This window comes from Homo sapiens, chromosome 14 (assembly GCF_000001405.40).
Source record: "Homo sapiens chromosome 14, GRCh38.p14 Primary Assembly".
NCBI classification, from domain to species: Eukaryota; Metazoa; Chordata; class Mammalia; order Primates; family Hominidae; genus Homo; species Homo sapiens.
In genome coordinates this window covers 106,722,905-106,745,855 of record NC_000014.9, presented here as the reverse complement: position 1 = coordinate 106,745,855, position 22,951 = coordinate 106,722,905, and the positions used below count along the sequence as shown (strand labels likewise).

Genomic DNA, 22,951 nt, shown 5'->3' with positions numbered 1-22,951 from the left:
CTAACTTAGGGGCTTTTTGTAATGTCTCTCCCTTTAGAGGTTACTGTTTTACTTAAACTGGATTTGGAGTCATGTTAGGAATAAGAGAGAGATAACAGTGGTCATTATTAGAAAGAGGTTTCTCAAATCCTTGAATTTTACTTAACTATTAGCATAGAATTATAATCTGGGATGTAGCTTGTGTACAAGGAACATAACAAATTTTGCTTTGGGCCGCCTGCGGAGCCAGAGAGCGGAGCAGGCGGGTCCCAGGGCGGCTGCCGCTTTGTGCTTGCTTAGAAGCCACTTTTCGCCACCGCGTTTCCTCTGTGCCAGCTCCCTCCCCACACTGCTCAGCAGCTGCTGCCGGCAGAGGGGAGCTTCCTGCACTTGCTCCTGCCCCTAATGCCTTTTCTTAACCCTTTGTGTACCTGATTGCCTTGCTGATCTTGCATTACTGGGCAGTCTAAGAGCTCCCCTTTTAATGCTGCTTGTCGAAGACAGGGACATATAGCTGTAGTGTATTTCCTCTATTTTTTCTATCTATTGAAAGAGGGGGCTCAGGCAAAACCTCCATTTCCTCTTTGTTATTTTGGGAAGAGCAGGTGGTAAGGCAAGTGACGTTTCTTCCTCCTTCCCCTTTTTGGGTTCTTCTTTGTATAATGGGACTAAAGCCATCTCTACTAAAGCCCATAGTGTTAAAGATGATGCTGGGACCCGTTGCGCTTGTGTGTAATGTTGTTCAAGATTTCTCCCTACTTGTTCCCAGAGCTTTACTTCTAGCTTTCCTTCTTCTGGGACCACAGATTATGTGAGACAACAGTTTTCATTAGGTGCCTTAATTGAGCCTGCGAAACTGATGCTCCCCTAGCCTTAAGCAACTGTTACAATACTTTTATATGCTGTTTGTGTTGAGCTGATAACTGCTGTCCCATGATGAAATCTCAGCCTGAACAATCTCCCCTGAACTTGGAGATCCCAAGTGGGCACCAATGACTTACTGTTTTACTGACTTGACCACGCAGTCTTCCTCAACCTTCGTTTTCATGGGGTCTGTCACGCTCCCTTTGCAGCGATCCTCACATGGGGCACCGGCTGTGGGGGTCTGTCCTGCAGGTCCTGACACAACAACGGGTGAATAAAGTACACTGACACACAGATATTCTGCTTTGCCAGCTTGACTGACCATCCAGGTAGATCAAAGGTGAGTCTTAGGACCACATGAGTGAACAAGCTAGTTAGATAAACTCCCCACATTCTTTTGTTTCTACTCAAATTTACTAAACTAAAGGTAAGGGGACTAGGCTGCCTTCAGCCAGATTTATTACTGAAGTTATGCAATCTCTCAAGCCTTCCACGAGGATTTGTGGCTATTATAACTAAAATTTTTCCCACGAGCCTGACTGAACCCCACAGGAAGTACTTTCTCCAAGTCTGTGGTTGCCTTTTACTCCCTTATCAGTAGGTATCGCAGAAAAATGTGTGTGTTTGTGTGTGTGTGTTTGTACAAATTTAGATTGAAAACATATATAATTTTATTCATTCATAGATCATGTCTTTGGCATTATATCTGAAGTTTCATTATAAAATAAACTAATAGTCATTATTTTTTCCATATCTCTAATCTCAGGCCACAATCAACTCATGAGTGTTTAAACTTCACCTGCTTGATTGGAGGACCATCAATCTAATGTATTTGGAATACTTCTGTAAGGAGATGTGTTCTTCTTCCTATTATTTTTTAATTGATCATCTATTAATATCAGTATTGGTTGATGGATGTCCATTTTATACTTTGAAAAAGATCCATGCTACATCATTCATTTAATTGTTCAAAGCACCACAGCTTTATTAGGTGCTGGGAGCTCATTTTGTTTGAATCCTGCATCCTTACAGCACACCTCACACCTCATTTTTTTGTTTTTGAAAACTTGCGTATTTCCTGGTATTACCATAAATTCTAAGCTTGTTTTCTTTATTACCTTTTTTTTACATAGAATCAACCACTTTTATAAAGATTGCATGTTTCTGATGTTAAAGAATAGTATTAAAATAAAACATTGTGATACTGGCTCTGTGTGTTGTTAATGTGGTATGAGTACTTCTAGAACCTCTCAAACAACGGTCCCAGTAAACGTGCATGTTTATATGAACCCAAGTTTATGGACTCATTGAAACTATTTATGTATCTAATCTTCTGTAACCCTATTACATTAAAAATGAGAACACACTGGTCTCTCCATCCAACTATGTTAGCACAGAGACCTTTCTAGTCTTCTTTCCTTGAGTTTCCATAACCACTCACTACAAAGTGAGAAACCCCATTCCACCATATGCAATTTTATTACTTAGCTGCACAGTTTCAGGACACATGCATAGCAGTATCTAAAGTGTAAAGCTGTACCCTTTTTGGAACCATGTTTATCTATTAGAATAGAGTGCTTATGTGCAGATTTTTTACACATTAAACTTATGGAATTTCCTCGTTTTCTGAGTTGCTTAGGTCAGCAACTTCATTTTCCACATTCTTCAATGAAGTCATTTCAATTACATTGTATAATTTCATTTATTTGAAATTCCATAAATGCTTAAACTATAGTCAAGTAAACAGATAGAGGATGTTCCAGGAATTTAGAGAGTGGGTATAAAATAAGCAAAAAAAAGTGATGTTTAAGAAAAATAAAACTATTTTTAGTGATATGCAATGGCTGAGATATGACATAACTAATTTGTCTAAGCTAATAATTTTGTGATGGAAAATATAAACTTAAATATATTCAATTTAAAAAAATTCAGCAGTTCATTAACCCCAGGATTAAATGCAGACTGTATAAAATTATCCAATAACTTATTTGGTGAGAGTGGGGATGTTATGAGATACATGCAACAAAGAATGAAGTAATTTTCCTTATTTGCATATACAATGTTTCCATTCACTGAAGACCTTTTATTTTAAAAAAATCAATTTTCTACCTTACCCTTGTTTTTAATTCCCGACAAGCAAATAACCCAAAGGATTCTTTTCTTTCATTGGTTGAGAAAGATTTTCCCCTAACTTCAGCTTAGTTCAGGCATACACTGACCTGAATGGGCATTTGCCCTCAGATGGGTACACACCTGTCAATATGTGGCCTCTTCTGTCAGACAGACACAGCTTCACTCATGTGGATTCTTCCCTCAAACACAAATGTCCCCACATGGACTATTTCCTCAGACTACCACATATGTCCTTACATTTACACTTTCCTCAGAAAACAGACATTTCCTCATGTGGACTCTTGTCTCAGATAAGCAAACATGTCTCAATGTGAATGAAGTCTTCACTCAGATAAGTACACATATTTCAACATTGACTGTTTCCTGACACAAGCACATATATCCAATGTTAAACTGTCTTGCGACAAAATGATCTCAAGATAATGATAATTATAAACTCCAACCCTGAAAACCTGTGGATCTGCATTTTGTCCATTGTAACATAACTTCTTCTCATTGTCAGAAACAGTCGTTTGCAGCTATAAATGCACTGATTACAGTCAGATTTCCATTTTCTCTGGAAATGTATTTCTTATGTTCTTACTGGACTAATTTGTTGACAATGTTTGCTCACATGAAGATACCTGAACAGTGTCCACATTAGAGAATAAGAAAGAGCAATGGGCAGATTAACCCTGTGCATCCAGATGCAGGAATCATTTGACTCTGCCTTCCCTGAAATGGAGACACAGAGGATGGATGAGCAACGCTGAGTGGTGCACCTACGACCACAAAGAGAAAGACGTGGAAATATGTCCCATCCCCTCCTCATGAAAGGCAGCTCATCCCCTGTTCCTTCAGGCCCTGGTGAGGAGCCACCCCATATCTGTGTCTTTCTTCAGTGTTCACACTATGGAGTCTGCACTGATCTGGGTTTCCCTTCTCATCACCCTCAATATTAGTGTCCCTTGTAAATCAGGTCCAGCTGTGGCTGCTCATAGGGTTGTTCTCAGTCTATTTCCTCTGTGTTCATAGAAGTCCTGTATGAAGTTCAGTGGTGGAGTCAGAGGGGTAAACGTTGTACAGCCCAGTGATTCACTGAGACTTTCATGCAAAGTGGCTGGATTCACCTTTGCTGGCAACAGCCTGAGGTTGGTCTAGCAGGCTTCACAACAGGGATTGTGGTGGCTGGCAACAGTGAGTCAGCAAGTGGGAGTGCTCAGGGTTACTCTTCATGAGTACAAATAAATTAACTGGTCCAGCGACACCCTTTCACGTGCACTCTACCTTACAATGACTAACCTGAATGCCAAGGACAAGGTTGTGTAATACTGTGAGGTTCACAGGAGAGGGATTATCTGCACGAGCCCAGACACAAAAATCTGCAGAGACAGGAGGGAACTGCATGATAGATGCTGCTCAGAAGCACCAGCGGGCACTCAACACAAGGGGGCCCTCAGGATACAGCTGGGGGCGCTCAGGACACCAGGGGGTCACTCAGGATACAGCGGGGGACGCTCAGAACCACCAGGGGGCTCTTAGGGCACCAGAGGGCATTCAGGACCACCAGGGAGCCCTCAGGGCCACCAGGAGGACCTCAGGACATGTCAGCGTGCTGGAGCCACCAGGGGGCGCTGAGGCAACCAAGGGACGCTCTGAACCGCGAGGGGAAGGAAGCTCAGGACCACGAGGGGACGCTCAGGACACCAGGGGGCGCTCAGAACACCAGTGGGCACTCAGAACAGGAAGAATCTCTTAGAAAGCAGCTCCACATCAGGATCCTGGGAGGCTGTGGAGAAATGGGAACACTCATAAACTGTTGAGCATTTAAATTAGTACAACCGCTATAGAGAACAGCTTAGAGTTTCCTCAAAACCTGACGATAGTTATCATTATAATCTGGCAATCCTGCTGCTGGTATATACCCCTAAAAAGGAAATGTTTTTGCACTACCATGTCTGTAATAGCGCTGTTAAAGCACTGTTCACAACAGTCAAAATTTGAAAGCAACCTATGTGCCGATTAACACATGAATGGATAAATAAAATATGGTACATATAGGATATGGGTTAATATTATGCCATAAAAAAATGAGATTTTATCATTTGCAACAACATGGATGAAACTGGAGTTCATTATATTAATTGAAATGAGCCCAGAAGAGAAAGACGAAATTCACATGTTCCCATTTGTTTGTGAAAGCTAAAAATTAAGACAATTGAACTCGTGGAGATAGAGAGGGAAAAGATGGTCCCCAGAAGCTGGGAAGGTCTATGCTAGATGGGGATTATTGGGGATGGTCAATGGGTAGAAAAGGTGATTAGAAATAATAAATAACACATAATATTTGATAACACAACAGAATAAGTATAGTCCTCAATAACTTAATTATAGATTTTAAAATAAAAGTTTATGAATGGAATGTTGGTAACTCTATTAATGCTTGAGAGGATGTATAAACTATTCTTCATAATGTGATTATTATGCAGTTCATGCTGATTCAGAGTTCTGTACCCCATAAAAATATACATGTACTATTTACCCACAAAGATTCAAAATTTAAGTGTTTATGTGTCTAATATTCTGTAACTATATTACATTAAACCTAAGAACACACTGGCTTTTACACACTACTGTCATCCACATAGACATTCATAGCCTTCTTTCTCTGCTTGTCCATAATCCCACACTCCAAAATGAGAAAACCTCTCCTACCATATGACATTAATTTACTTAGTGCACAATTTCAAAATACACAAATCGTCTTTAGGATTGTTAAACTGACCCTTGTTGAAAATATGTTTATCAACTAGAATACAGTGCTTATGTGGAGCTTATTTATATTTTACAATCGCAACATCAAATTCTTTCCAAGTTTCTTGTGTCCAATATTTATGCCCCACCTTCTTCAGGGTAATTAGTTCAAACCTTCTGATTGTTGTTAGATATTTTTATACAGCTGTCTTTTTTTGTGTTTCATGACCTGCTAAATACTTTCGAAGTTGTATGCATTTAGGTTAACACTTTGTCTCAAAAAATATGAGTTTTCAGAAATTCTTTATGCCATGTGTCCATCATTGAATATCATAAAAATAGTTTCATTGGCCGGGCATGGTGGCTCACACCTGTAATCCCAGCACTTTGGGAGGCCAAGGTGGGCGGGTCACGAGGTCAGGAGATCGAGACCATCCTGGCTAACACAATGAAACCCCATCTCTACTAAAAATACAAAAATTAGCCAGGCGTGGTGGCAGGCACCTGTAGTCCCAAATACTCAGGAGGCTGAGGCAGGAGAATGGCACGAACCCAGGAGGTGGAGGTTGCTGTGAGCACAGATCGCACCACCACACTCCAGCCTGGGTGGCAGAGTGAGACTCTGTCTCAAAAAAAAAAGATAGCTTCATTGTGATTAAAAAATGTGTTTCACCTAATCCACACACCTTCTCCCCACCTTCCTGGGAAACCTCAAATGTTTACTGGATCTATATTTTTATCTTTGGCAAAACAGCCTGGCTGTTTTCTTAGCCTCTTCTGCAAAGCATCAAGATTCACCTTCACTGACTACAGCATGAATTGAGTCCAGATGGCTGGGGGACAGAGGCTGGAGAGGGTGGTAACAGTGATTGATTCAAGTGGAAGTTCTCAGTGATATTCTGCATCAGCACAATAAAGATTCACAATTCCCAGGGACACCAATTACCAGCACAGTCTCCCTTAAAATAATCTACTTGGAAGCTGAGGGGGCTCTCACAGGGGTAGGCAGTGTATTACTGTGAGAGATACAGCGAGGGACATTTCTGTGAGTCCAGACGGAAACCTCCCTGCAGGGAGACAAGAGAGGACTTTGTGATAAATGGTGCTTAGGACACCAGGGGGCACTCAGGACAGCAGAGGGTGCTCAGCAGAGCAGGGTGCGCTCAGGACATGGTGTGTGTTGTAGGGGGCATTGCTCAGGATCACCAGGGGGCTCTCAGAACCACCAAGGGTCACTCAGGAAACCAGGGGGCGCTCTGGACACCAGGGGGAGCTCAGAACCACCAGGTGGTACTCAGGACACCAGGGGGCGCTCATGACCAGCAGGGCATGCTCAGGGCAACAGGGGGCTTGCAGAACCCCAGTTCCAACGCCAGTGTTGGAAGCACTTTTCATTGGCAAGACACTAGGAAGGAGAGCAAATTGGAGGCTTGTTACTGTGCAAATATGCCACCGTGAGTGTGTGTGGGGGGGGTAGGTGGGGGGTGGACCTTGAAACATAAGGTGTGTGCGTAAAGTGATAATCTGATGTAAACTTCGACCACAGAATCCTAAAGAAAAAAAAAAAAGAGGCTGCCCCAAAGTCCCCATCAGTTCCTGGACTCGCCATGTGTCTGGACCATATCAGTGCATCTGGAGCTCCAGGGAAGGGGCTCCCTGGTGGATTTAGTGATTCCTTGCTTCCTGTGCCAAGGTCTCCCTGTGGGATATGTTAGGTTTCCTAAGGTCTATTTTCTAGTGTAAGAAGTGATGTGAGAAGTAGTTGCTGTCACTGAAGGAGCATTCTTAGCCAGGGCACAGCCAGGTCATACTGGGCTTGAGATGCTGGGAGAAAAATGCTCTGTGAGCCCAGAAAAGAACTTCCCTGCAGGGCAGGAGCTGAGCTGCAGGGGGCGCTCAGGATGCACCCAGCACAGGATCCAGCTCTGGAGCAGGTGCACAGGAGGCTGTGGAGGGGTTTTCTCTCAGGGATTGAATATTCCTTATTTCAAAGCCATAATGACATAAAATTTAAATAAGAATTTAGCAAGTACTGATGTGTCTTTAGTATTCTCTTGCATACACAGAGGCTACCAAACCCAATAACTTAACGCAAAACACATTTAAAAGGAGAAATGTCTAGGCCTTTCAAATGTATTTATAGTTAGGAATTGAGGGGTGGTTTTATTAATTCAATGGGTGTTACTCTCCGGAGACACACTCATCCCAGAAGTTAGATGTGCAGAGGGCAAGGCCCAGGAAAAGTTCAGATTGTCAGTGAGCCATAGGAACAAGAAATCACAGTGAGGACAATGCCCTGTGAGATTCTGGGTTTCTGTAAGAGGAGTTCTGTCTTCATGGACTTCTAAGTGTGTCAGAGGACAAATATCATTAAACAAAGTTCAGGGCAGGGAGCTCAGTGTCCCACTGTGGCATGGTCCGTGTGTCACCTATCTTCTTCCCCAGGGTGGGGTGGCCTAAGCTATGAAATACCTGCCTCATGAATATGCAAATGCAGTGGTGTCTACCGAGGTAAATACAGATCTGTCCTTGCCCAGAGAGCATCACACAACAGCCACATCCCTCCCCTACAGAAGCCCCCAGAGAGCAGCACCTCACCATGGACTGCACCTGGAGGATCCTCCTCTTGGTGGCAGCAGCTACAGGTAAGAGAATCCTTAGTTCCAGGGCTGATGAGGGGACTGGGTCCAGTTAAGTGGTGTCTCATCCACTCCTTTCTCTTCTCCACAGGCACCCACGCCGAGGTCCAGCTGGTACAGTCTGGGGCTGAGGTGAAGAAGCCTGGGGCTACAGTGAAAATCTCCTGCAAGGTTTCTGGATACACCTTCACCGACTACTACATGCACTGGGTGCAACAGGCCCCTGGAAAAGGGCTTGAGTGGATGGGACTTGTTGATCCTGAAGATGGTGAAACAATATACGCAGAGAAGTTCCAGGGCAGAGTCACCATAACCGCGGACACGTCTACAGACACAGCCTACATGGAGCTGAGCAGCCTGAGATCTGAGGACACGGCCGTGTATTACTGTGCAACAGACACAGTGTGAAAACCCACATGCTGAGAGTGTCAGAAACCCTGAGGAAGGAGGCAGCTGTGCTGGGGCTGAAAAGATGACAGCATTTATGAGGTTTAAAGTGTTTAGAAGATGGGTTAAGTCACAGAGTAAAAGTAGAAATAGAAAGATGTATACATTCCAATTATATAGGAAATAATCTTTTCAACTTTCACCCTGTAAGTAACATTCACAGAGTGGGAAAGGCAGCAATCAATGGAGTGGATGCAAACATTCCTTTGTGAGGACATAAATTTTAAAATCGAATGGATAAATCATTTGGAGCAGGATTGCTTGATCACATGGTAAGACTAAATATAATTTCTAAAAAGTGACCAACATTTCTAACAAAATGTCTTTGCCACTCCTTTTACATTAATTTTATTTTAAAACATTTTTAGGATTGCAGCAAATTTGAGTAGAATAAACAGCATTCCCATGTACTCCTGCCCAAGACATGCACAGACTTCTCCATGATCAACACCCTGCGCTGAAGTAATAAATAACTTGCAACAGATGAACCCACATGGACACCTTGATTGTTTCCTTTCCTGGTGGCCCCTGGTATAACAAGCCTAAATTACCTTGAAGCACCCCAGGTTCTTCTAGTGGGTTACAGGAAATGATGCCAGGTAGAGGGAAAGTGAGTGGGGATGATCCTCTTTGCACTGTTTCCTCAAGAATCCATAAAATGTACATTGATTTAGAGCTCAACTAACTCCTGGTTTTCTATGCCCCTTTCCAGAAGGTAAGGTCTCCAAGAATTTACAGCAGGGGATCTCCTCAAGAGTCCATAAAATGTACAGCGGTTTAGAGCTCGTCTGACTCCTGGTTTTATATGCCCCTACCAAGAGGATAAGGTCTCCAAGCACTTACGGCAGGGGTCTCCAACCCCTAGGCAGTGAACCCGTACTGGTCAGCAGCCTGATAGAAAGCAGGCTGCACAGCAGGAGATGAACAGGGGGTGAGCATCACTGCCTGAGCTCCGCCTCCTGTCAGATCAGCTGCGCATTAGATTTTCCTAGGAGCCAAATTCTATTGTGAACTGTGCATGCAAGGGATCTAGGGCGACCGCTCCCTATGAGAATCTAATGCCTGATGATTGCAGGTGGAACAGGTTCATCCCATAACCACCTGCCTCCCTCATCCATGGAAAAATTGTCATCCATGAAACTGTTCCCTGGTGGCAAAAAGGTTGGGGACCACTGGTGTAGAGGCAGGTCTGTGCAACTAAAAGGCCAGTGGCTTCTGCTGAATCCTATAATTAATGTCCTTTAATGAGAAGTGGAGACTTTGGTCATGAGGGCTTTCGTGAATAATGCCCTTCAGTCGGATTCAAAACACTGTAAGATCTTGTGGGTGTTTCTGGATAAAGCACTTTGGGCAGAAAATGCAAACACATGCATGAGATCCAGGCAGGAAAAACAAAGCTTCCTTTACAAAGTGGTTTGGCACGTGGAAGGAGCTCTCAGGGTTGGGCACTGTACCCTTTGCTGACTACACTTTAGCCAGAGGCCTGAGCCTGATTGGGTCACAGGTTACAAAAACGTCTGTCATCCTTCAGCTGAGCAAGCATATCTGCGTGCTTGTCAGTGTCCACCCCATGAGGGGTGCACTCTGGAAGATGACAAGATGTACACAAACCTTCTCCCACTGATTATCCACTAGCACACACTCAACTGCAACCCATGCTCCAGAAAGGGACAGGGGCCTGCAGGGATAAACAGAATGGAAGTATTTTATTACCTGGGAAAGACACTGCCAAATATCACGTTTCAGGAAGGTTAACTCATAAGTGTTCAGGAAGTGACTGAAGGGCAGTGGTGGGTGAGCTGACGGGACTGCCTCAGGGCTGCACATGAGGAGGGCTCCCTCCCACACAGCCTTTTCCTCCAGGAGCTACACCAGAAACTCATAGAAGATCAGGAAGGATTCTGAGAACATTCTTCTGTGGTGCTGCCTAGAGGGGGAAAATAAATTATAAAAAATAAATCAATTCTAAACAAAGTATGACATTTGTTATTAGAACCATTTCTGAAACCTGTGGGAATCCTGACATAAGCCACCATTCTCTGTGAATAAACATATAAACACTCCTTCCATGGGGAAGTCAACGAAGTTGGATCGGTTCTTTCATGGATAACATCCCCCAAAGTCCTCTCCATTCCCTGAGCATCCCCGGGTCTCTCAGTGACAAGTTCTCCTCAGTGGAATGTGGTTGATGTAGTGAGATCTTCAATTTTCCCGTGTTCTGTGTTCTCATGTTCTCCCCTTATCTGAGATTAAGAAACTCGCCTGCATGTGGTACATCACAGTCTAATGTCTCTCATGGACAAAATAGTGGCCACAGCAACCACCGGCGGCCACCATCCCCTCCACAGCCTGTGTTGGAACATCACCTGAGAGATTGTATTAGCAACTTTCCTTCAGAATCATCTTAAAAACTATGTGTCCCATTTCACATGGAGATGTCATCTATCCATTTTCTCTTCATAGACAAATAGAAGGAGATGAATACCCAATACACTTCATATCTCCGGATTATTCAAATACGATTGTCACTTTATCACCTTCTGATTTCTGGCCTTCGCAGAACACTCTATAAATTTTTCTCACTGGTATTATACCAAAACTTACAAAGTGCTGGATACAGGGATTATTTTAACCAACATTATTCTAATGATTCTAAGAATGTAGAATTACAATTATCCTCTTTTCATATATGGATAAACTAACCTATGCCTTTGAAAATAAACCCTTACATAAGAGTGAAAAGGTAAGCTATAGATTTGGAGAATTTCCTTGCAAATCCGTTATTTGGAAAAGGGATTTTATCACAAATATACAAATTAACTTACAATTGAACAACAATAAAACCACAACATTTAATTTTAAAATGGGCAAAGACCTGAATAGAAACCACATCTAAAAATATATATAAAAAGAGATCAACTTGATTTTCATGAAGTACATGTTTGTTTAATATTTTTAAAAATTCTGCTAATCTATGAGAATGGGTAAAATACACAATGTAGACAATATCAAACGGTGATGAGGAAGTTGAAAAACAGGAACTTTCACTCCTTGCTGCTGGGAATGCTAAAGCGACACATAGACAACTCCAGTTAATAATTTACTGTATGTTTCAAAATAGCTAGAAGATAAGATTTAGAGTGCACATAACACAAAAAGTAATCAATGATTGAGATAAAGGCTATCCCAGTTATCCAGATTTGATCATTGAACATAAAATGCTATTATCAAAATATCAATTGTACCCCCTAAAGATTTTGAACTATTATGTATCTATATAAATTAAACATTAAAAAAACACCAATGCCAAGGAATCCAGCTAATTGCAGATTCCCATTTATTGTGGGATCTGGCCAGCAGCCTGCAATGCAATGGGGCTCTCTCTTTGTTCCCAGGAGGATCAGCAGGTTGAGAAATAATAGACACACACAAGATAGTGTACACTGAGTCCAGGGGAGTCACCGCCTTCTGGTCCCATGGTGCCAACAATGCACTGGATATACCAGCATTTATTATTAAGTTTAGTAAGGGTGGGGGTAGGTTAGTGAGGGATTTAGGATCATTTGATTATGAGGTGAGATGGTCACATCAGGATGAAGTAATTCTTTAACATAACATCTGTATGCAGAAGTACAGTACATTTGTATGTAGAGGTTACAGAGATAAGAATTTACAATATAGTGTGTGCATCCATAATTTCTAACAGAGCCTTAAAACAGAAACACAGTCTTTCCATAACCTGTGATTAGCAAGATATTAATCAGCAGTAACAGTTGCAGCAAAAGCTGGTTACAAACAATCCATGAAACAGGACGTGAAGCTAGACAACGGGTTAGACCGGAATTTCTCAAAAGGGAGTATGCCTTAACCCTAAAGAGGCTTAGAAGAGCCGTGGCAAGATGGGGGCGTTTATAGCCCTATCTTATCCATATGGACAGGTGCCCCCCATGCGTCCGTTTATAGGCTCTCCACAAGGGTCGCATTCCATTCCCAGAGCTATGAACATCTGCTTTTCTGGGACAGGAATCTTGGTGATGTGAAACCTCCCTGACTGCACGTCCATTCACAGGCTCTCTGCAGGGGGAAGCACATCACGCGCTGTTGGCTTGTTCTGGCAGTCCAACCTGGCATTGTCTTTACACAATCCTGCGTGCAATTTTATATTTACAATAATCAGGAGGATTTCATCTTTTATTCCATAGCAATAGTTTCAGGGGGTCTCCCTACACCCGTTAGATGGGATGTGCTGCATAATCTGTAAACTAATCAGAGTCTGTGGGTTTGTAAAGGACTTTAGAAATCAACTGGACTACTTGTTTCTAAAGATAAGTCTCCCAAGTTTAACTGTTTTCTTAATGGATGGCTATTTTGAACATAGAAGAAATGTTAACATTTGTTTCTGGTAAGTTTTCTTCTTCTAGTCTCAGGAGAAAAAGTTTGCAGGGAAGAATCTGGGACCATCTTTCAAGTCTCAACTTCAATGTGATTATCTCGTAAATATTTTCTGGTACCCCTAAGATAAATCTCATATCTGTCCTAGAAACTAAAATTATGATTCTAAGCATCCAACTGACTGGATGGACCCTTCCTCTTCACCAAGGAGTTCCAGAGACTTGAAAACCTAGCTCACGCCATGTTAGAAATAGAGGATCAGAAATGCCTCATTATACCCTCCCCCCTTTGGAATTCAAGCACAACTAACCAGCATTTTTATAAAAACAGATCTTAAGCCTCAGAAAACAGATTCTTTGTAGCAGCAAAATGCCAAATTCTAACTTGACTCAAGAATAGCATCACATGACAGAGAGCAGACTTTGAAAGGAATCAAAGGCTAGAATATTCCTTCGACATATTTTAAAATCGCCCTGCAAAGTTATCTTTTGTGAGAGAAATTTATATTCTGTAGAGAATCTCCTTCCCTTTCCAGGTGTTTTTGTTATACTGAGATTAGCTGAGAGTCTAGTATCTTTTAAAGGTCTTAATAGAAAACATTTCCCATCCACTGCCTCTAAAAGTGGTCACAGGACACAGGAAGGGGAACATCACACACCGGGGCCTGTTGTGGGGGTTGGGGGAGGGGGGAGGGATAGCATTGGGAGATATACTTAATGTAAATGATGAGTTAATGGGTGCAGCACACCAACATGGCACATGTACACATATGTAACAAACCTGCACGTTGTGCACATGTACCCTAGAACTTAAAGTATAATAAAAAAATATATATATATGAAAAAAGAGACTTCATATACATAATAAGAATCTTGTTCTCCAAAACCCGTTATCTTAACCTAGAAACGTTTTTCTACTGCTTTCAGGTCTTTAGAAAAAAACTTAAGTCTTTCAACCAATTGCCAATCAGAAAATCTTTGAGTTCACCTGTAAGGTGTAATCCCCTGCCCATACTGACTCACTTCTAGCAGTTTTTCTTTATGGACCAAATCAACACGTTTCTCTCATGTATTGGTTGAAGTCTGTCTCTCTAAGACATTAAATTTAAGCTGCCATCAAGCCACTTTGGGAACATGTTCTCAAGATCTTCTGGGGTTGTGTCACAGGGCATGGTCCCCACATTTGGCTCAGAATAAATCTCTCCAAATATTTTGCAAAGTTGGCTTTTTCATCGATAGTTCTAACAGAACCTACTCTGTGGTCTTTGTTACAAGCATGATATTAATATAGTATTAGTTATATTAGTATTAGTTATAGCACATGTTGGCAATTTCTTATGAAGTTATGCATAGACTAACAATGGGATCAAGTGTAAATGTTTCAAAGCATTTATGCAGTTATTTCAAAATCTACATTCCACAGATTCTTCTATCAGGTTCATTATATCAGCTAATTATTTGTTTTATGATTTTTTTGCAATTTTTGCAGACAGATTCTTTCTTTTCTTGGCCTTTATTGTAGAAAATTGTGTGAAACTAGTCAGGGCTGCATTTGAAAGTCATTGTCACAGTGGCTCCCAGAATCTAAGTGCATTTCCTCTTCAGCCACCAGACACTCAGATTACTCTAATGACACCTTAATTTTGTTTTCTGCTTGGCATTGGGCCTTAAATTGTGTGTTCCAGAGAGACTCTGTCTTTCATCTCACCCAGGTCATCCCAGAGCCACATGGACCTGATAATTGTCAATGTGGTGGGAAGGGTCGCACAGAACGGGCACTCTCTGTCCTTCTGAGGGAGCCACACTCCAGGCAGACATCACAGTCCTGGCTGAGGACGTGTCCTTCCAAGTATCCCTGCCCCTCCTGCAGGTGTGATGCTGATCCATGCATCTTCCTCCCATTCCTGGGTAGAGGGTCTCGTTGTTTTTTCCCAGATCTTCTTCCAGCAGCCACTATGTCTTCCACTGATGTCTTCAGCTTCCTCTTTTCTGCCCTTCCCAGCAGGATGAGGCTATTTTTCCTGAGGGAAGAGAGAGGAGGTGGGAGATGAGGCTGTTATTCCTGAGAGAATGGACAGAGCTTTGGAGCTTTTCTTTCTTCCTTCCCAGATTCTATGAGTTCCTCCAGTGCCTGTAACACAGAGGTGTTAGTGGCTTTGCCCCTGCATGTTAATTCTTTGGTCATGTAGTGGTGGTGAGGGAGGTGGGTCTGGATGCATTTCAGCCACAGCTGCTGTTCCGTTTCCCACACAGAACCATCTCGGGAGGGAGAGGTTGGAGATTTTTCTGATGTGTCCTCAATCCTGGCAGAAAAGGTTTCAATAGCAATAGGATTCCCTCAGTCGTATGTCCTCTGAGAATAAACAATAACTTCTTTATTATACTCAATTTTAAACAATCCAATGAATATGTCTAATTTAATTTTGCATTAGATTATATGACATTTGCAGGCCTCTGCCCCAGATAAGGTCATATTCTCTTCTGTTTGTTCCTGCAAGTCACTGATTTTCTCAAGATGTAAGGTCTCTTGATTGTCCTATAACATCAATAATCTGATTTATTAAAGAAAATGTGTTAATTTGCATGTCAGTAAAGTTAATTGTTGTTGTAAAAATAATATATTTTATGGGATGCCTACATCTCCCAGCTGAGTAGAAGCTTTATTTGTAATACTCAGAAACTGGAAATTATGCAAATATTAAGGAGATTTCTAAATAAATACTATGGTTGCTGTCTTAAACTGGAATGCTCTTCCTCATCAGAATCAACACATTCTTTATACACAACCAAATTACTGACTCACAAGTAATTATGCTGTGCAAGAAGCCACACAAATGAAATTGAAAATGTAAGATTTCACTTTAACAAAATCTCGAAAAATAGATCTGAATTAACAAAGATGAGAGGTTGACTCAGTATGGTGAGAGGGAAATGACTGGGAGGCAGGAATGAGAGGAACACAAGGAAGCTTTTAAGTGTAATTCATCGTTGTTTTTATTGTATTTTGGATGCACAGGTGAGCACATGAGAAATTACATTTTTTTTTTCCCTTTGGAGACATGGTCTTGCTTTGTCATCCAGGCTGGAGCTCAGTGGTGAGATCACAGCTCTCTGCAGCCTCAGACCCTGGGTCTCCAGCAATCCTCCTCCCTCTGCCCTATGTATGCACCACCATGCTCAGCTTCAGTGCTTACTACACTGCACACTTTAATTATGCAATATTTATTATACAGCAATAATGCCTCAATAAGGGTATCAGAAATAAGTGAATAGATAATTTGTTAGATAAAGATTGATGGAAAGACAGACACTGACATGAGAAATGTATGACACTCAAGAAAATAAAACTGTAGGAAACGTGCTTTTCTTCACATTTGTTAGGTAATCACAACAGTGCGTACACATCACACCATATTCTTGTTACAGAGAAAAGGTTCTGCAAACCTCAGTAGGTGCGACGCCCTGTGTGCTGTGCTTAGTTCAGGGAGCAGTCAGGCTCGGTGGTGAGAAGCACAGGCCCAGATACCCAGGTCACCCTGACCAAATGTGAACTCTAGGGAGATTGAACAACCGATCTGTGATTTTGCTGGTAATTTTTCATCTGTTACATGGAAATAACATTGATACTACATACCATGGTTTCACTGCATATGAAAAAATAAAAGATGATTTGTTCTAACTTTAAACATATGCACTTTCTGTTGATCTACTGTACCTCAATAGAACTGTTTTAAAATAAAAATTACAAAATTATAAGATTTATAGGTTTTAAGGTTTTATCACAGAGCAGATTTACCATAAGAAACCACAATTTCCCAAATGCTATCAATATCACAAATCTCCCCAGGACACTGTCACGTGCTCTGAGCCCCACTCTCTCCAAAGGCCTCTAACCAGAGAGCTTACTATATAGTAGGAGACATGGAAATAGAGCCCTCCCTCTGCTTATGAAAACCAGCCCAGCCCTGACCCTGCAGCTCTGGGACAGGAGCCCCAGCCCTGGGATTTTCAGGTGTTTTCATTTGGTGATCAGGACTGAACACAGAGGACCACCAAGGAGTCATGGCTGAGCTGGCTTTTTCTTGTGGCTATTTTAAAAGGTAATTCATGGAGAAATAGAAAAATTGAGTGTGAGTGGATAAGAGTGAGATAAACAGTGGATTTGTGTGGAAGTTTCTGACCAGGTTGTCTCTTTGTTTGCAGGTGTCCAGTGTGAGGTGCAGCTGGTGGAGTCTGGGGGAGGCTTGGTAAAGCCTGGGGGGTCCCTGAGACTCTCCTGTGCAGCCTCTGGATTCACCTTCAGTGACTACTACATGAACTGGGTCCGCCAGGCTCCAGGGAAGGGGCTGGAGTGGGTCTCATCCATTAGTAGTAGTAGTACCATATACTACGCAGACTCTGTGAAGGGCCGATTCACCATCTCCAGAGACAACGCCAAGAACTCACTGTATCTGCAAATGAACAGCCTGAGAGCCGAGGACACGGCTGTGTATTACTGTGCGAGAGACACAGTGAGGGGAAGTCAGTGTGAGCCCAGACACAAACCTCCCTGCAGGGGTCCCCAGGACCACCAGGGGGCGCCCGGGACACTGTGCACGGGGCTGTCTCCAGGGCAGGTGCAGGTGCTGCTGAGGCCTGGCTTCCCTGTCATGGCCTGGGCGGCCTCGTTGTCAAATTTCTCCAGGGAACTTCTCCAGATTTACAATTCTGTACTGACATTTCATGTCTCTAAATGCAAAACTTTTTTGTTCTTTTTGTATTTTTGTTTTTGTAACAGGAGGACACACCCTCACCTCCACAGAAGCCACAGTGTCACTTTGGGGGCAGATGATCCTTCTGTGGTCAGCAGGATGAAAGTTCCGAGGAATCTCAGGGGAACCCGAAGAGTGTTTGCCAGTTAGACTCAGGGCAGCGACCTCCACAGGAATCTCTGATTAGAACAGGCTTTGAGTTCTGATAGGAGCCAAGAGAGACGCTCACCCAGGGTCAGAGTCCTTAAAACCTTGTGGTTTTCACAGCAATCCCCCCTGGTCTTGTAAAACTGTGTACATATGACTCAGACTGATTCACTTGACCCCCTTTCTGCTAATCCATTTTCCTTCTCTGCATACTTGATTCTCACAGTTCCCTTTCTTCTTCTCTTTCCTGAAAACAGAGGATGTGTTTTCTGTAGTCAAAATCCCAGAGATCAGGTCTGCAGGACCTGGGTAGGCTGAGGGGACTTTCTCACTCACCATAGGCTGATGACACTCCTGCTGTATTTTGTGTGTGGAGGTGTTTGGAAAACGAAATGAACATTAGTCATGAAGGGAATAATACTAGTTTTCTCCAAAGGGATGTGGATGTAGAGCTGATCTTGTGCTTCTCACACTGTCACAGAATTTATGCTCTCCCCTGTGACTTTAGGAGAGCTGAGGATGGACACTCCATTGTGCTGTGAGCTCTGGTAATAGTAATTATAGGGTCTGGCTAGGCAGCCTAAGGTCAATACTGCTGGCCTTCGGGAAAGGCAGGCTGGGATTCCTAGGAAAACCTGCATCTGCCGTCCAGCATGGAGTCCCATCGTCTTCTGTTATGCTCTGATTGAATCAGGCCCACCTAGGTTATCTAGAACACTCTTCGTGACTTGGGCAAAATTAGTGGCAGGCTCTACTAAGACCTGCATTATGCCATGGGAGCAACACCTAGGCTAGTGTGTGATTGAGTAGGTGAGACTGTGGTCTAGTCAAGGTGGCAGGGAAAATTGTTGCCATTATTATGTTTTATTTTATATTTGGCAATACAGTCATGCTCATATTACAAATACCTTTCTACATTTTTCGTGTCAGAAGCTTTTGAACAAGAGCAACTTCATCTTGAATAAGGGCTAGAAAAAATAAGACTGAGACCTGCTGGGCTACATTTCCAGTAAGCTAAGGCATCCTTAGTCACAGGATGAGATAGGAGGTCTGCACACGATCCAGGTTATAAAGACCTTGCTGGTAAAGGTTACAGTAAAGAAGCTGGGCAAAGCCCACCAAAACCAAGATGGCAACAAAAGTGATTTCTGTTCATCCTCACTGCTCATTATAATGCCTTAACATGCTGAAAGCCACTCCCTTCAGCGCCATGATGGTTTACACATGCCATGGCAACATCAGGCAGGTTCCCTAGATGGTGTACAAAGGAGGGAGGAAACCTCAGCTTCGGGAATTGCCCAGGGGACTCATGAATAATCCATCCGTTGTGAGAAATACATTCATCCCTTTGAGAGAAAATGCACAGGGGGTGGAATGAGGCTGGGAAGCTGATGGCACATGGTGGAAGCCTGTCCCTGAGTGAAAGAGAGAGGGAAGCTGGATTGGGTGGAAGGTCCCTATATTTCTGTGCTGTGCAAGGAAGGTGCAAAATATAATTGAGTCTTGTGCAAGTCAGTGCTGCCTCTCAGGGGATCCCCATGACTCCCAGAAATAATGGCTCTGCTTAGGAATCCCTGCAGAGTCACTCCTTTCATTAGAGTAGACCACAGGACATGGGCCTCAGCACCTGCCATGCCACAGATGTCAGAAAGCAGCTGCTGGGAACCTGACCCACCTGCATTTTGCTGCCTGTAGGAGGAGGGAGGGACGTGCATTCTCAGGGCCAACACGCTGTTTTTGGATTTTTATAGAGAACACCTGCTTTTACTTTACTTTTTGGAAAAATATATGAACAAATGTGCACCTGCAAACAATTGTAATTTTCACATTTATTTTAATTACATTTGTTTATAATTGTGCATGAGGTCCTGGTGCAGAGTTGAGTTTTTCATGGGAATTGTTCCAAGAATCAAGAACATCCATTTTCCACTTTCACTGGTTTTTCCCCATGTGCAGAGACCTTGAGTAGAGCACATCTGGCCCTTATCCACACTATCTCTTGTGTCCCCGGGAAAGAGCAGGGATTTGCCTGACTGCAGAATCTGGGGTAGGAGTCTGCACACCTCTGAGCCTGCAGAGAAGCCCAGAGAAGTTTTATGGAGTCAGAGAGCTTTCCCGTGTGGGGAACCTCTAGCTTCCTCACTCTCAGAGATTGCTGGTCAGCTGTAATTGAGGGGTTAAGAATTAGAGCACCTGGAAGCCTGTCTCATCACAGCTCCATTATGTAACTTACCACCATTAGACTGCAGGTAATAACTCAATCTTGATTTTTCTGACCCCATCTTATTCATTTGTAAGTTTGGTTATAGAAAATGTTACATTTTAGTTTCTGATTCAAACCTCAGAATTTTGTGAATTCATCAGGAATAATTAAAAATGTGTCCAGTTTTTGGGAAATGTAAATTAATGTCCATACTGTTTATGTGTGTGTGCGTGTGTGTGTGGGGGGGGACATGTCAGTCACTTACACCCCAGTAAAAATGATTCCTTAATTATATAGTCGAACTGCAATTAGATTTGCTGAAAATTGTCTACAGTAATTTCTGTGAAGCTGACCTTGCCACCTTGCTGTGAGGTGTGAGGATGCTCAGTGCACAGGTGAGGTCTCACAGGAGAGATCCAAGGTTCAGCCCCCAGGACTGGCTGAGCTCCTGGCTTGGAGCCAGACATAGGACTGGGCATCTCAGAAGCAGATCCCCTGGCCCTCCTTTATCTGGGCTGTATGGGCAGCAGAGGACAAGCAGAAGAAACTCAGAACTCAGCCAAGACAGAGCCCCATTTAGGAGCAGGTGCATCAAGGAACCAGCCAGAGAACCTCTGACTACAATCTAGGGTTGTCTTCTTTTGCTTCACAGCATCCAACCCTAAGGAGACCACCCACTATATCATCTGTAACTCAGAACTTTCTTGTTACAAAGGAAAACACAAATGAATATAACTCTGCAGTTAACTTCTTGAACCTGGATTGATGAGTTTCCATGGCCTCATGAGCACAGAGACCACATCCAGTGCAGGTGCAGAGCAAGGCTGCAACAGTCAGCCTGCTGCTCCCTCAGGAGTCTTCCAATTCCCTTGTCCAAAGCATCCGCTCATTCATGGGCTGAGAAAAGGGAAGTCATTCATGCAGTCTACTCTCTCCACAGAACTGACGGGGCACAAGGACAACATCGATTTTTCATGGAACATGCCTCTAGGAATGCAGCTGTGTGCACACACACTGCTAAGCACACACTTCTTTACATAATTACTTGTAACTGTATTTTCTTATTTATTCTCTCCAATTTTTTTACACAAATTCATCACTTTTCCCCATAATCAAAGAGGATTTTGATCAGAATGCTTGTGGGGAGCCCCTTGCCTGCCAGATGCCCAACATCACTACTCTTGAAGGGAGGAGGAACGGCAGCTCTCTTGATTTCTACTCTAATCCTCTAGGACTAAAACCAGAAGGTTGCATGTCCAGTGCGGGAGCATCGAAGAAGATCCTGTCTGTAGAAGCAGGAGCGTCAAGACTTGACTGAGAGCCATGGTGCTGAAATGAGATAGATTCCCTGATGGAGAGCACACGTGGACCCCCACACCTGAGGGCTCACTGCTCCTCACCACAGATGCACTCCCCTACTGAGTCCTGAGACCTGAGTGCACCCCATAGAGTAGGGCTCAGATGAGGGGATGCAAATCTCCACCAGCTCCACCCTCCCCTGGGTTCAAAAGACGAGGACAGGGCCTCGCTCAGTGAATCCTGCTCTCCACCATGGACATACTTTGTTCCACGCTCCTGCTACTGACTGTCCCGTCCTGTGAGTGCTGTGGTCAGGTAGTACTTCAGAAGCAAAAAATCTATTCTCTCCTTTGTGGGCTTCATCTTCTTATGTCTTCTCCACAGGGGTCTTATCCCAGGTCACCTTGAAGGAGTCTGGTCCTGCGCTGGTGAAACCCACACAGACCCTCACACTGACCTGCACCTTCTCTGGGTTCTCACTCAGCACTAGTGGAATGCGTGTGAGCTGGATCCGTCAGCCCCCAGGGAAGGCCCTGGAGTGGCTTGCACGCATTGATTGGGATGATGATAAATTCTACAGCACATCTCTGAAGACCAGGCTCACCATCTCCAAGGACACCTCCAAAAACCAGGTGGTCCTTACAATGACCAACATGGACCCTGTGGACACAGCCACGTATTACTGTGCACGGATACCACAGAGACACAGCCCAGGGCGCCTCCTGTACAAGAACCCAGGCTGCTTCTCAGTGGTGCTCCCTCCCCACCTCTGCAGAACAGGATAGTGTGGCTGAGATGCCATTTCCTGCCAGGGCCTGCGTTTCCCATCCCCATCTGACTCAGAGCCTTGTTTTCCTCCCTCTTCTTTACTAATAAATGGCATGTCCCCTGTTAGTGGTTCGTGCAAGCAGAAGCTGTATCCTGTTTGACAAAGATTCAGCATGAAAGGTTCCTGTTACCTAAAAAAAAATAGACAGATGAGACTTAATTAACCTAAATAATTTTTTTCACAACAACAGAGTGAATACACAATTTGCAGAATGACAGAAAACTTTTGCACACTTTGTCTGTGACAGGGAACTAATATGAAGAATTTGCAAGGAACTCAAACAACTCTACAACAACAACAGCAACGAGAACCAAATAACCCCATTAAAATGAGCAAAGAACATGAGTAGACATTTTCAAAAGAACACATAGAAATGGATAATAAATATATAAACAATGCTCAACATCACTAACCATCAGGGAAATGCAAATTAAAACCACAATAAGATATCATCTTCCACCAGTCACAATGACTGTTACTAAAAACTCAAATAATATCAGATGTTGCTGAGGATGGGAAATAAAGGCAACTCTTAG

At 43.1% G+C, this 22,951-nt stretch overlaps 1 pseudogene, 2 gene segments (V, D, J or C) and 1 further gene; all 4 read left to right on the top strand.

The window, feature by feature from the left end:
* The window catches only part of IGH (immunoglobulin heavy locus), a 1,293,408-nt gene that overhangs the window by 133,989 nt on the left and 1,136,468 nt on the right, over positions 1 to 22,951 (top strand).
* Positions 8,309 to 8,746, top strand: IGHV1-69-2 (immunoglobulin heavy variable 1-69-2). The segment is given in 2 exon segments: positions 8,309 to 8,354; positions 8,440 to 8,746. Coding segments are annotated over 2 exon segments (353 nt in total), but the record flags the coding sequence as incomplete, so codon positions are not given.
* Positions 17,241 to 17,693, top strand: IGHV3-69-1 (immunoglobulin heavy variable 3-69-1 (pseudogene); annotated as a pseudogene). Its single transcript is given in 2 exon segments — positions 17,241 to 17,286; positions 17,390 to 17,693. Coding segments are annotated over 2 exon segments (350 nt in total).
* Positions 21,839 to 22,282, top strand: IGHV2-70D (immunoglobulin heavy variable 2-70D). The segment is given in 2 exon segments: positions 21,839 to 21,884; positions 21,971 to 22,282. Coding segments are annotated over 2 exon segments (358 nt in total), but the record flags the coding sequence as incomplete, so codon positions are not given.